General features: G+C 38.4%; 1 protein-coding gene and 1 non-coding gene across 2 annotated transcripts in view; both read left to right on the top strand.

Annotated features, from left to right (window-relative positions):
* Positions 1–15,481, top strand: part of LRMDA (leucine rich melanocyte differentiation associated) — a 1,128,545-nt gene that overhangs the window by 108,587 nt on the left and 1,004,477 nt on the right. The window lies entirely within an intron of this gene.
* Positions 12,248–12,343, top strand: MIR606 (microRNA 606). The gene has a single exon (NR_030337.1). It is a non-coding gene; the product is annotated as a microRNA 606 (primary transcript).

Raw genomic sequence — 15,481 nt, forward strand, 5'->3', positions numbered from 1 at the left:
GACATTTAAGCAAAGAGCTGAAGGTGAGATAGCTTGTGCAAAGGTTTGGGAACCTGGCAGAGGGAACAGCAAGTGAAAAGGCCCTGGGGCCAGAACAAGCTTGGCATGTTTGAGTAACAGCAAAGCAAGTACAACACCAATGGTGGGCATGCTCCAAGTTTGGGGATTGGCATGATAGGCTTATAGGAAGACCAGGCACAAGAGGAATGTGATTTCATACATTTGTCCCATGTGTGTGGCCATAGGATTCTCGTTTTATCACCATACTGTCTTCCCCTATCTAGCACCTGGCCAAACAGGCTTTTCTTATTTCCACTTGGCTGGTTTCTGTAGAAAGATCTTACCTCCCCACTAGCACTCTGCTCCACTATTTGCTGGATGCCAATATAGGTAAAGTCCCAGTCACCAGGGGAATTTGAAACTTTCACTCCCCCAGACTGAATCCCTTAGTTAAATGTGTTCTCATATACTTTGAATATTACTTTCTTGCAGTGCTTATCCCACACTATTGTAATTAGTTGTGTATGTGATTGTCTTCCCAACTGTAAGCAGCTATTACTCATGTTTGGGCCCCTAGTGTTCAGAAGAGTGCCTGGCATCCAGTAAATATGTAATGTGTTTATTGGCTAAAAAAGTAAAATAATTCCCTATGTGTTACCTGGCTACCTGTTATAAGAACTAGAAATTATGGTGAATGCAGAGTCAATAAACTCATTGCTTTTACAGGAAGAGCTTAAAACAAACTTAGGGAAACAAGTTTTGTTGTTTTTTTTTTAAAAAGGAAAAAAACAGTTTTGGATCTGCTTTAGGGCACTTATAAGAAGAGTTTTAACAACTGTTGGTTTAAATAGTTGTTGCAGGAATGAGAACTCTTGCAGGGATTGAATAGCCTAGGCAACCGCAGCATTCAAACCCTGGTGGGACGGAATTCCCAGAGGCCAACTGGGTCTTTCCTGGATTTGAGCCTTTGTCCCAGGGCCTTATGAGATACTTTGTCCTCCATAAATTTGGAGCCGATTTGGAACTAGCTAGCTGTTTTTCTCCCTGCTGAATTAATGTGCTGTTCAGCCTAAGCTCAAATATGAAATATATTAAAAGCAAACTAAAAACAGGTCACCGTTTTGCCTCTAATGTTATGGGAATATTTGTTTTTAAGTCATCTTTTAATACTCCACAAATCTTCCCCACAAACTTTTTTTTTTTTTTTTTTTAAGCAGAGACTATTTTTCCCAGTGCAAAAGGCCATTTCTTAAGTCCTGATTTATTCAGAAATTTACATGGAGAAAATGGCCCCAGATCCCACACAAGTGAAATTTATTTTTTAATCTGGGGCACAGTAGGGAGCCCTGAGAAATGCGTTTTCCTCCAGGATTGTAGGAGGAATACATAGTGTTTGTTTAAAGCATCAGGTATTGAGAAATGTAATGGCAGGGTGAAAAGTTTGACCTCAGCTGCCAGATCCGATCTGCTAGGGGGTAATTGAGTTGCCATGTTTTTTTCCTCTTCAGTTTAAATCAAGTTTTGCTATAGCCCATTTAAGTGTCAAATTGGTAGCAAAACTTGACAACTTCAGGGTGCAGACTTGCTTTTGATGAGAATTTACATGCAAATCATTTTTGCCTTGAACTGTCAACTCCTGTTTCTGATACTCTGAGGGGGACATGTCTCTCCCCACCTCTCTCTCCCCAAGCCAAAGGGGATGTTGGCTAATGTTATTAATCAGTGTGTGGAAGAAAAATTATCTTGATAAATATGGTGGTTAAACTATATTTTCCCTTTTGTATGTCAGCTGTTGCAGCTGGGCATTTAATCTCCTTTTACCTAGAAGGAAATCAAACAATTATCCAGCGCTTGATGTCAAAAAGAAACTAGTGAATGAGGGTGGAGGGTCACCAGTGTATTGGAGAATGGGCTTAAGCCACCAAAACCTGACAAAGGGTGCTGACAGTCTGCATTTTCTTGGGCATTAAACAAAGTCTTTGGTAACTTTAAAGAATCTTTCCTTGCATGACTAAACTCATTGAGGGGGTTAGAGAGAAAGCTGCCTCAGAAGTCTTAAGCCTGAAACTTTTTTTTTTTTGGTTTTTCCCTAAACCCTTGGGACGCTTAAAAGCACGTGAGCATGTGTAGCTCCATCATTCAGCAAGACAAAGGAGTGTTTGCACTTTCACAGAGTTAATAATGACAGTAGCAAGTCTTTCTAGTTTCCAGCCATCCTGTTTAGCATTCCTAGTCATCTTACCTTCCTGAAGAATTTAATTGTGATTGATGCTCTGTCTCTCATTTCTTCTAGACAACCCCACTCTGAAAAGCAAGAAAATAGAGGGACCCAATAAAAAAACAAATAGAGAAAAAGAAGTTTCTAGAACTCACTGCAGATTAAGAGAGCTGATTGCGAATATTTATAATTATCTATTGTGGAGCCAAAACATTTAGTGAAATAGTACAAGATTTTTGTTTCTAGCCAGCCTAAAATTCCTTTCCATCACTACACCCCCAATGGGGTGAGAATATCAAACATGTCGTCCTGTCAAGATGACAGCCAGCGTCATGTCATATGGGAGACACATGCAGGCCTGACTTGAGAAATCAAAGAAATTTCAAGATTGGTTTCGCTTGATCCAACGTGGCCCCATTGCAGGCCCTTCGGAAATCTCCTCTACCAGGCCCCTTCCTGCCACTGTCCGGCGCAGCCTGCCTGTGTGCTGTGAAATTTTAATTGAATTGTTAATGACACCGAGGAGTGACACAACACATGAGAAACTTCCAAGAATCAGTCAGGAGGAGCCCTTTTTCTTACTGTTACAAAACAGAAGACACTGGGAAATTGACAAGTCCAAGCGCGAGGCCAGGGTAGTAATTGATAGCAGGCTGCCTAGAGCCAAGGTCCTTCCCTGGTAATTGCAAGCAGAGGCTGCCTCTCTGATCTCACCAGTGGTGCTGGCCATGCCAGAGCAACCCAGCTTTGACGGATTGCTTTCCCGCAGTAATGACTTAGGCATGTTCCCTCTCTCGCATGAGGCCATGGGTCCCTCCCACTGGAGAAAATGAGCTGAACATTTTGCTTCTTCTTTAACAGGGCGCTGTTAAAATAACTCTATTCTATTATATAAGCCCTGTAGTGCCAGGGGCTAAATTTATATGGTTATAAACAAGAGATATTACTTTGGAATACCACAATACTGTGTTTTGCTATTTCTTTAGGATTTCTAATGGTGTTTTCAAAATAATGGATTTTACTTCAAGAAAAAAAAATGGAAGTGGGGAGGAGGAGAGAGGAAGGATCCCATTTCTGAACAAAACCCTCGTCCTATTTTTAAATTCCTCTGTGTACCTTCCCTAATTCACCAGCCCAGTATTTATTTGTATTTGTGTTTGTTTTGCTGGCCGGATTTGACTCTCTATGGGAACATCAGAAATATTATTTACTCCAGGATTCTGAAATAAGATAGATATTTTATTTCATGTTTTTTAAATTCTCCAAAGATTTATTTTTATTTTTTTCCTTTCCCATTTCTGGACATTGATATATTTCAGAACTTTTGTGCAGCTTTTCCTCCCTCCCTACACCTCCTCTCCCTTCTCCCCTTACTCCTTTCTTCCTGGAATGTAATTTTGTCTATGAAACATGACAGTAAGCTGAAATGTCCCTGATGATTTTCACTCCTCTGGATTTTCACTCCTTTCAGTGACAGAAACTTACTAATTCTGATACAAGTGTCGCTGAATGTGCTTCCTTGCTGTGGCTTGTGCTTTCTGGCATGTTTAAAGTTGGGGTCCCTCACCCCACCTGTGTCCATCGTTTCACACCAAGAACCAACTTCAAAGGAGTGCCAGGGACATCCTTAAAAACTCAACTACAGATTCACTTCAGAAATGAAGCTTCGTGCACATGCGTTTGTGTGTGTGTTTGTGTCCATGTGTGTGTCTTCACACTCATTTGATAAGTTTTGATGGTGAACCTACGAGAAAAGATACAGATTAGTATTAATGGAGCTTCTGGGAGAATAGGTAGAGAAAAGATTTGGCTGTGTTTATTTACCTTACATTTAGTCCCTAACTCCCTACATTTATTGTTAATTGGTAGTACATATTTAGAATTATTCTTAAAAAATGAAGGACTAAATGATGGTAGGTTTCTAAACTATCTCACAAAATTTATTTCTGCAAAATGAAAAGGATTATTTTGGGTAAGTGGAATTTTTTAGGCTAGCCTGGGAACCTAACCATTATAGCATTGGATCTACTGGAAAAAACCTTCAGAATTCTGACTTGGATATAGGGTGCTCGAAAGACAGTTTTTCTTGTCTTCCTATTCACTGCTATGACTTAGAGAGGAAGGTACTGCCTCTTGCATGATCCCAGCTGTCAAAGAGTTGGCCCTCCCCTGACCTTAAGCACTGGGGCAAGAGTATAAACACTTCCTGCTGCATTGCTGTAATGTTATTCTTTTTTTGTGTGTGTTTAAAAAACTTTCTTGTTTTTTTTTTCTGCATGATTTGAAATCTCTATAATAAGCAATGTTTCATTTTAAGGAGAAACAATCGAAATGTTTTCATTTTTGAGCTTTATTGAGGTATAATTGACGAATAAAAATGGTATACATTTAAGGTATACAACTTGTCCTTTTGATCGTAGTGTTATTCTCATTTAGTGCAAGCTCACCACTAAGTCAGATGTTTTAAAGTAGGGATGTGCTGTTAGAATCTCATTTAATTATTTGATTACATTTCTGTTTTTACTATTTGTGTAGGTATTAGCCCAATGCTTTTATTCTTTTGTCTTTATTATTTTTCCTGTGTTTTCAGTATGTTTTGTTTCAGAGAAGCGGTTCTCAGTGTGGGGAGGCATTCTCCCCCACTCTTTGGAGACATTTGATTTGTCATAACTTGGGGTGGGGTGGTTGCTGCTGGTATGTAGTCCGGGGAAGCCAGGAATGTGCTTAACATCCAACAATGCACAGGACAGCTCCCACAACAAATAATTATCACGTCTGAAATGTCTTTTTTGTTTAGCACTATGACATATAGAAATGAGATCTTGGTAAAAGTCCATCAATTAAGTCAGAAACTACAATCTGTTAATCAAGTGTTACGGAGAGTTTGGAGCTGGTCTGGGGGGTTGGGCAGAAAGAAAAAAATTTGAGAATTGTGCAGCTTCCTGGTTGTTACCATAGGCTTTAGACACACACTTGGATCAAGATGATGGTTATACTGCAGACTTTGGGCTTGTTGCTTAACCTTTCTAAGCCTCAGTTTCTTTCTCTGCTACATGTGACAAGTGACAGTACTGATATCATAGGACACTGTGGACATAATAGGTGTCTGGCTTACACTAGACCTTAGTTAATATATGACAACTATGTAGAAATTGGTTGCCGTCCTAAAGGTGGTGACATGAATCTTGGAGATCATCTTACTAACATTTTGCCAATGAGAAAACTGAGCCCCAGAGAGGGGAGATTACCCAAAATGATGATAGCTGGTAAGAGTCAAAGTTGGGACTAGAACCCAGGTCTCCTGACCCTAAGTCCTGTATTCTCTGCAGTATTAAGCTTGTTTCAGCTTACAGTATTAAGCTTCATGGTCTAGAACTTAAATCTGGTTGGGAAGGAGAGTCCAACATGTCTGAAATAATTAGAGAAATATTTAGTGACAAAAATTCCAATGTGAGAGCTCTGGATTCTGGAAGGTCTTAGGAAGAGTTAAGTAGGATTATAGTTTATAACGACCATGAAACTCACAGGAACTCTGTTATGATGGTTATCCAAAATCTTGAGCCGGGAACCAAATGGAAAGAGCAGAAGCTTTATCCAGAAGGTCTTGGGCTTCTGCTCTTTTGGTGCTGGGAAGCCTTATTTTATGGTGTAAGTTGGAATCTTTCATGAAGTTTCTTTAAAGACAATAGACACCCAGAGGAGGAATGAGAGAACATTTACTGAGTGTTGACCAGTGTTGGGCATGGTGCCAACTGATTCCACACACATTTTCTGGTTTCAGTGATCTTACTGAGCTCTAGTGTTTCAAGCATTCTCCATTTGCAAGATGGTGGGTGAGGACAGTGGGGGATGTAACCATAGAACAGCAGACCTTGCTGCCTTCAAAGATCATGTTTTTGAAGAATGTTTAATGGTAGAGGAAAATATCTATGAACTATTCATAAGCTTAAAAATATGTGTACACAGGTTATGAAACACTGTGTACACTATTGATCCCAATTGTATTTTGAAATAAACATATGTATGCATAGAAAAAAAGAAGAGAAGACTATACATCAGAATATCAACTGGTTATTTCTAGTGTTGGGATCAAGGATGATTGCAGTTTTTCCTTTTTATCTGTATTTTTTTCTGCTAGTTTCTGTTTTACAAAATTATAATAAAATCTTTTTAATGGTAGAAGTGATGTGATTGAGTATTCATTAATAAGTTGCTTATGCATTGGAATTATAAGCAAGGCAAAAGAAGTGTAATAATGGAGTTTCTGCCCCCAAGGGACTTTTACTGTAGTCCGGAGAGAAGACCTACACATATGGAAAGTTTATTAATAATAATCATTACTGATAGCTATTAATTGTACCATTAAGTGGCTATTCAGATTATGATAGTGAATCTCTACATTTTTAATAATGTTAAATCTATGTAAATCTATGTGATATACATGTATTATTTCACTGAATCCTCCCCACAGACACATAGGGTACTTCAATATTCCCATTTTACAGATGGAAAAACTTAGGTTTAGATGGTTTGGGAAAGTGGTGGAGCTAGGATTGGCTCCAAAGTTCATGTCTTTAACCACCAGTTAATATGACCTTCCAGAGAACCCTGCTTAGCTGATAAATCACCAAGTGCTTGTTGCCAGTGAGGACTACAAGAATGATCAGTTGAGAAGAAATAGATCATTTCAGCCTGGCCAAGGGAAGGGAGAAGAAGGATCACCCAAGATTCTATTTATTCATCAGTGCACCCAAGATTCTATTTATTCATCAGTGCACCCAACTTCATGTTTCAGGATGGTTCTGTATAGCATTACTGAGTATCTCTGGACCAAAACATGCGAACCACTTGTAGGGTTATTTTAGGCATGGATAAGGAGGAGAAGACCAGGCCTATGTGGGAGAAATGTCTTGGGAAGCTGGTTTTCTTTGCTCATCTCTAATTAAAGACTCTGGTGGCCCTTGTGAAGACCTTTCTGACTCAAGTGACTGTGGCTCTGACAGGAGTATCTTTCCTTCGTCTGCTGAATCATCTTTCACTTCACAGCCCTGCACTGGGGCTGTGGTGCCCACACAATGGCCAAAACCACTGTGGCCACAATAAGTGCTGTGGAATGTGTGTGTGTTTCGTCTTTATCAAGAATGTCACATGGCATTTCCTGATTGCAGCAGCAGCTTACTGCCCCATCTGAGTTTCCAGACTAAATACCAGTGCTCAAGCCACATGTGTTTATGGTATGTAATAAATCTCCATTTGTCATAATGGTTTAAGTTTAAAAGAAAAAGAAAGGTGGGCTGTTACGTAAAAAAAATTATTTTGGCTGTTATAAATTAACTTTCTTGGAGTTTCAGGTCAAGCCCAATTTATTAAAGGGAATAAAAAAGATAGAAACCTGGTCTGTGATCACAATTGTGATTTATCCTCACCTCGAGTGGGTCCTCCTTTGGACCTTTTCTTGAACCGCAGCTGGCTTGGTTTATGTAGGACCTGCTGGGAGCTGAGATTGTAATGAAAAACAGTTATTCTTTCAAATTACTCACAAGAAGAGGGCTTATTTTATCAAGCGCTCTCCTAATTTGATTGTAAGGCTTTTCATATTTATTTTTCAGCATTAATCATTCTGTATCTTTGTGGAAAGTATAAACATAGTGGTGAAGGACAGCATTTAAAAGAAAAAAAAAAAAACACAACACTCCAGGGACAAATGTTTCTCTAGAGGTGGCCTATTGGGAGCCCTTAACGGATGATTAAGGAAGTTATTTTGGGTTTGGTAGCAATGTTGTGAACTTTTCCAAAGAATCTTCTTTAGAGCAAGATGGCATTTAATATTTTTGCAGATTAACCTTTAGCAATGAAAATAGTGTCCAGTATTGACTTCCCTTGGAAGAAACAAGCAAGCAAGGTACTGGTAGCATTAGCTAACATCTTTCTATGCTAGAAGGCCACTCTGTGTCCTGAATTTGCCCAAGGGAGAGTTTTGGGAGTTCCTTTCCCATGCAACAGTGAGGAACTCTAATTTTAATACTCTGGGAGTGTAGGACCCAGCCTAGGCCTCCTTCCTCGCTAATTAGGTTCCTTCTGACCTGGACATCCCACAGTATCTTAAACAATGAGGGGTAGTTCCTATTTTCAGCACAGGAGCCCCAGATGGTCTTCTGCTTCTCAGAACTCCTTTTTGAACTCTCTGCATTCTTAAGCAAAACAACTCAGAACCAGATGCTGGGTGGCTCATTACAAACATGAAAATGAATTTTCATATTCCTTCATGTTATTGAAATATGTAATATTTCTTATCTCTTTGATCTCTGGCCTATAAAAAAGATCTAAGTATCTGTCGGAAATATACATACTCGGGTTGTATAGACCTATCTGTAATGGAGCCAGGAGCTCAGTGAAGTTCCATTTGAGGCAACAGAAGGAGGTAACTCCTCAAAAAGTCTTTTCCAGGAAGGTTAGTCAAGACCTATGCTGATCTGACCATGTTAAGAGTTATTTATTATTACTGTTATTAGTTTATTACTACAATTTCCTATCTTGGATAATGGTACAGTTGGCCCTGTATATCCACTGTTTCTGCATCCACCAATTCAACCAACTACAAATTGAATATTCAATCTGAAATGGAATCATACAGTATTCACCCTTTTGTGTGCCTAGTTTCTTTCACTCAAAAGCATAATGCTTTTGAGATTCATCCATGTGGTTGCATGTATTACTAGCTTGTTTCTTTTTATTGTTGAGTAGTATTCTATTGTGTGAATGTATCAGAATTCTTGACACGTTCACCATTTGATGGCTGTTTGGATTGTTTAAAGTTTTAGCTATTTTGAATAAGCAGCAATAAATATTTGCTCAGAATATTCAATCAATTGAATATTGGGATGTTTGATCTGGAATGCAGATCCTGCACATATGAAGGGCTGCCTGTAAAGGACTTGAGCATGCTTAGATTTTGGTATTTGTGGGGTGTCCTGGAACCAATCTCCCATACCAACAGACCACTGTATTTAAATTTGTTTTTAATTTTATTTATTTGTATATATTTTTAGAGACAAGGTATTGTTACATTGTCTAGGTTATTCACAGGCACAGTCACAGCATACTACAACCTCAGACTCCTGGGCTAAAGTGATCCTCCTGCCTCAGCCTCCTGAGTAGTTGAGACTACAGGTACATGCCACTGCTTCAGGTTATTTTTTATTTTTGAAGTCAGATTTAGTGAGATATAATTTATGCACAATTAATTCCCTTTCTAAGTGCACAGATGATTTTTGACAAATGCATACAGTCATGTAACCACCATCATCATAATCAAGACGTAACATTTTTATCGCCATAAAAAGTTTCCTTGTGCCCACTTTTCAATCTCCTTTCTCCTTCCTTGGCTCATGGCATGCACTGATGTAATTATTGTCTCAGTGGCTTTGCCTATCCCCAGAATGTCATAAAAATGGAATCATACAGTATTCACCCTTTTGTGTGCCTAGTTTCTTTCACTTAGCATAATGCTTTTGAGATTCATCCATGTAGTTGCATGTATCACTAGTTTGTTTCTTTTTATTGTTGAGTAGTATTCTATTGTGTGAATGTACCACAATTCTTGACACATTCACCATTTGATGGCTGTTTGGACTGTTTAAAGTTTTAGCTATTTTGAATAAGCAGCTATAAACATTTGCTCAGAAACTAGTCTGTCTTAGTGAATGTTCCATGGGCCCTTCAAAAGAATGTGGATTCTGCTATTGTTGGTTGGAATCGTCTATAGATGTCAGTTAATTCAATTTGGTTGATAGTGTTGTTCAGGCTTCTATATCTTTACTTATTTTTGATCTACTTTTTATATAAATTACTAAGAGAGGAGTATTCAAGTCTCCTATTCTTCCTGGTTTTTGTCTACTTCTTTCAGTTTGATCAGATTTTTCTTTATGTATTTTGGAACTCTGTTGTTAGATGCATACATATACATTAGTTATATCTTCTTGATGAACTGAGTCTTTGTTCCTAAACATATTCCTTGTTCTGAAACCTACTTTGTATTATGTTATTATACAGACTGGAGTTTTTGTGTAATGTTTGTGTTGTATCTATTTTTTCACTGTTAATATATGTCTCTGTGTTTATATTTATAATGAATTTCTTTTAGAGAGCATATAGTCAGGTCTTGCTTTCATAACGAGTCTGATTATATCTGCTTTTTAATTTGGAATGTTTAGGCCATTTATCCTTAATGTAACTATTGGTATAGTTGGTTTTGAGTCTACCATTTTGCAAATTGTTTTCTATGTGTCTTATATGTTCTCTATTTCCTTCTTTTCCTGCCTTCTTTTGAATTATTTGTATATATTTATGATTTCATTTCATCTCCACCACTGGCTTATAAGTTTACTCCTTTTAAAAATGTTCTAGTGATTGCTTTAGGGTGTACAGTATATATATTTAACACAGTTTACCTTCAGATAATACATTGCTTTATTTATAGTTTAAGAATCTTACAATGGTACTCTTCCATTTTCTTCTTTCCATCCTTTGTTCTATTGTCTACATTTTACTTTTACATATGTTATAAACTCTACTGATCATTGGTACTATCTTTTCTTTAGACAGCAATTATCTTTTTTTTTTAACCTGGGAAAATGTTTTTTTTACTTGATTAATAGGAAAATGAAAATATTCTGTTTAAATATTTTCTAGTTTAATCTATTTGCAAACTAAATATATTTTGCAGTCAGCTATCTTTTTTTTTTTTTTTAACCTAGGATTTGAGGAAGGATGTTCCACAGAAATAGAACAGTATGAACACAAGTAGAGCAACAAAAGAAAGTGTGGTTCAACCTTACCAGGAGATATGTAGGTGTAGAAGCACTAAAAAGTAAGACCATGGAGGGCCTGGCTTACTTGATATTTATTTATTTATTTTTTATAATACTTTAAGTTCTGGGGTACATGTGCAGAACATACGGGTTTGTTACATAGGTATACACGTGCCATGGTGGTTTGCTGCACTCATTAACCCATCATCTACATTATGTATGTCTTCTAATGCTACCCCTCCCCTAGCCCCCATCCCCCAACAGGCCCCAGTGTGTGATGTTCCCCTCCCTGTGTCCATGTGTTCTAATTGTTCAGCTCCCACTTATGAATGAGAACATGTGGTGTTTGGTTTTCTGTTCTTGTGTTACTTTGCTGAGAATGATGGTTTCCAGCGTCATGCATGTCCCTGCAAAGGACATGAACTCATCCGTTTTTATGGCTGCATAGTATTCCATGGTGTATACGTGCCACATTGAGTCAGCTATTTTTTTTGAGAGGCTAAAATTAAGAAAAAATTTGCTGGGCACTGTGGCTTATGCCTGTAATCCCAGCACTTTGGGAGGCTTAGGTGAGAGGATCGCTTGAGGCCAGGAGTTTGAGACCAGCCTGGGCAACATAGTGAGACCCATTCTCTACAAAACATTAAAAAAAATATTAGCTGGGTGTGGTGGCTCAAACCTGTAGTTCCAGCCTCTTGGTAGACTGAGATAGGAGGATTGCCTGAGCCCAGGAGGTCAAGGATTCAGTGAGCTGTGATTGCACCACTGCACTCCAGCCTGGGCAACAGAGTTAGACACTGCCTAGGCAACAGAGTTAGACCGTGTCTCTAAAAAATAAAAGAAATAAAAACAATCTGTCTTTTATTATCCACATTTTAATCATTTCTAGAGCTCTTTCTTTCTGTAGATCTGAATTTCCTTCTAGTACCAGACTCCTGCCTGAGGTCTTTATTTAACATCATCATAGTATGGTATGTTGGCAATGAATTTTTTCAGTTTCTGTGTGTCTGAAAAATTCTTTATCTTACCTTCATTTTTTAGCAGATACTTTCACTTGTATAGAATTCCATGTGGACAGTTTTTTCTGTCAGTGCTTTAATGGTGTCACTCCATTTTCTTTTGCATTGCATTCTTTCTGTTGAGCAGTGCGCTGTCATTCTTAGCTTTGTTCTGTGTTTTTTTTTTTTCCCCCCCCTCTGGCTGCTTTCAGAATTTTCACTGTATCCTTGGTTTTTAGTAGTTTTACTATGATGAGGTGTGCCATCCACCCCATCATAGTAAACTACTGAAAATCAAAGATACAAGTGCCTGACCACTTCTACCCCTCATCCCCTACTTGGGATTTTCTGAGGTTCTTTGAACTGTGGTTTGCTCTTTTTAATTAATTTTGGAAAATTCGTAGCTATTATCTCTTCAAACTTTTTTTTTCTGCTTCCTTTTCTCTCTCTCCTACTTTTGGGATTCAAAATATATGTTATACTGTTTACTATTATCCTATAGCTCTCATATGCTTTTTTTTTTCCTTGTTATTATTTTGGATCATTTCTACTCACCTATCTTCAAGTTTGTAAATCATTTTCTCTGCTGTGTTCAGTTTGTTGATAAACCTTATGATGAAATTCTTCCTTTTTGTTATCCTTTTGATTTCTAGCCTTTCCATTTGACTCATTTTAAAGAAAAAGTTTCCATTTCTCTTTTACAATTATTTATTCATTCATGTTGTCTACCTTTTTCTCTAGATTAAAAACTTAATTATAGTTATTTTAAGTCCCTATCTGATAATTTTAACATCTGCATCACATCTGTTTCTGGTAATGTTGACTACTTTATCTTTTGACCAAGAGTCTTCATTTTTTTTCTTGCTTTTTGTCTGATAATTTTTGATTCAATGCCAGATAATGCATATAAAAGAACAGTAGAGACTGAGGCAAATAGTATTTATGCTTGGAAATGGAGACTCTTCTGTTGGGATGTTAGTGTGGGTAGTTGAGTCAATGCAGTCAGTAATTGAGCTAGATCTGAGTTTTGTTCTATGACAGCTTCAAATTCTTCCAGTGGTGGCTTGCTGCTACCTTTGCTTAGTGGTGAGCCTGGAGAGATGAAGGGTTTTCCTCAAGTTTCCATTTCATCCTCAGCTTTCAGCTGGTCCCATATGCTTACTCTAGAGAATGGGTCTCTCTCAATGCTGTTGCCCCTCTTTGAGGGCTAGACTGCTGTTGCTTATTACTCAGTGTGAAGCTTGTGGTGTGGTGGAGGATCTCAGTCTTAGGTAGGCCCTGTGTATCTGGGTCCCAGGTATGAGACTTTTTCTGTCTCATATTTGTTGGGACTCTTGGGTAGGAGAGCATTTTCTGTCCCTCCTCCAGGGCAGCAGGCCTCTATATCTATGCAAGATTCTGTAACTGAAAAGGTTTTCTACCCCTTCACCCAGAGGCAGACATATTTTGCTTCTATCTCTCCTTTAGTTAAAGCGCACCTTTTAAGGAGGAAGTGGCTTCCTCCTTAGTGGCTTATGACTTCTCTTTTTTATGAGAGAAGGGCCTGGGAAGTAGGCAAGATTTCATGCCTGTGCACAGTGTAGGGGGCTCTCTTTTATCTGTTGTTTGGTCTTAATCTCTCTTGTGAGCACCATGGGGAAAAAAATGAGGAGTGAGTGCAGACTCTCCTTGTGGCTGGGGCTCTTGGGAATTCTAAACTTTCTTGTTAGCCCATATCCAACATTAAAAAATTTGTTAAAATGTTAGCTGTTTTCTTTTTATTTACTTTTTTGATGGCTACCTTTTCAATCTGTCCTCTGCTAAAGAAGAAATGCTTTGTGTGTTCTATCTGTTCTTGGAGGGACTAGTCACACTTTGAAATTAAGTTCACCATTTGCCTTGCAACCTCAGCTCTCTGATGGGTTGGAGAAAAGTTATGATTTTGTAGATTATCTGGCTTTTTCCTTTTAGTATGGGAGTGATGCTTATTTGTAGTTTTCTGCATCCTGAGAAGTAATGGAATTCCTAGATGATATTTTAAGTGACACTGGTCAGTTGCAGTGTGTCCAGGGTGATCAGGAGGATTCTAGAAATCCTTCCAAATGGGAAGCAATGAAACAAACAAGGAACATTTATACTGCAGAAGAGAAATGATGTTGGAGAGAGGAACATGGTGTATGATAGTCACTGTACATAGCTGTGAGATTGATGTGATGAGGTAGGTGTAGACTTTTACCTGACATTTCTAATGGCATTAATCAATTAACCGATCAGTTATTTAGCCCCTCCTCTGTGCTAGGTACTAGGAATGCAAAGACAAATGAGTTCCTATCACTACTCTTAGGAGCTCCCAATCTAGAATTATGAATTACAGCTAATGATGGTAATTATAAGGTGGCAGACTTCAGTTTAATCTAAGAAAGAACTTGCCAATGTTTAAAGACGTTGAAAGTGGGATAGACAATGTGGAACGGATGTGAGCTTTTAGAGTTGTAGTGACCAAAATTCAAAACCTGGCTGTACTATTTTCTAGAAGAGAGAACATAGGCAAGTTAACATCTTTCTTTGAGGCCTAGTTTCCTCATCTGTAAAATGAGGATGATAATACTTTCGTTAAAGGATGATTGAGTAGATGCAAAGAAATGAAGTATGTAATGTGTCCAAGTCATTTACTTTTCTTTTTATATTTCCTTAAAGTTGTATACTCTTGTCAGTAGAGAGATTTAAGCAGAATATCAGCCAGGGTGGAGTGGATTCTTGTTCTCCTCCATAGGAGATGGGACAGGATGATCTACTGGTCCTTTTCAGTTAGTCCTGAGGGGCTGGGATTTAAGCATCCATGGGTATCTGATGAGAAGGGACAGTCTCTGATTCTGATGGGGAGGAGTTTGGTGGGCCCTGGGCTGTCTGCTCTCCATGGCCCTATGAGAGAGTTCTAGAGAAAACTATGGAGCAACCACACTTTTCTTACATGATTACTAAGGGAGAAGATGCAGGCAGCTACCGGAAGGGGAGCTGACTCTTGGAAGAAGGGAAAGGCTTAGGGTGAATTTCTCATTTTCTACAGCTTTTCTCTTGAGTACAGCCTTCAGTCTGTGCCATGTGGGAAGATAGATAACTTGATAGAAAATATGTATCTTGGTTGGCTTGGATAACCAGAGACTAGAGTTCAGGACAACCTTAGCTGCTGGAAGGAGTGGGGTCTCTGAAAGGAGTGAGCCACAGAGTGGAGCCCCAAATTCCATGTATAAAATCTACCTAAATCTAAGCTGGACTTTGAACTTCATGTGTGGTGCAGATTCCACACTGGCTAGATAAGGCTGAAACAATTGAACTGAAATATGAACTGCTGCCTACCTTAGGGGAGACAGTGTTTTGCAGTTTGATTTCAGTGAAGTTAACTGTGTGCTTTAAAAAAGTGACTTCAAAGAAAATTAGGAGAAGCTGTAGTTTCTACAACATATCATTCAAGAGAT

The sequence above is a fragment of the Homo sapiens genome, chromosome 10 (genome assembly GCF_000001405.40).
Source record: "Homo sapiens chromosome 10, GRCh38.p14 Primary Assembly".
NCBI lineage: Eukaryota > Metazoa > Chordata > Mammalia > Primates > Hominidae > Homo > Homo sapiens.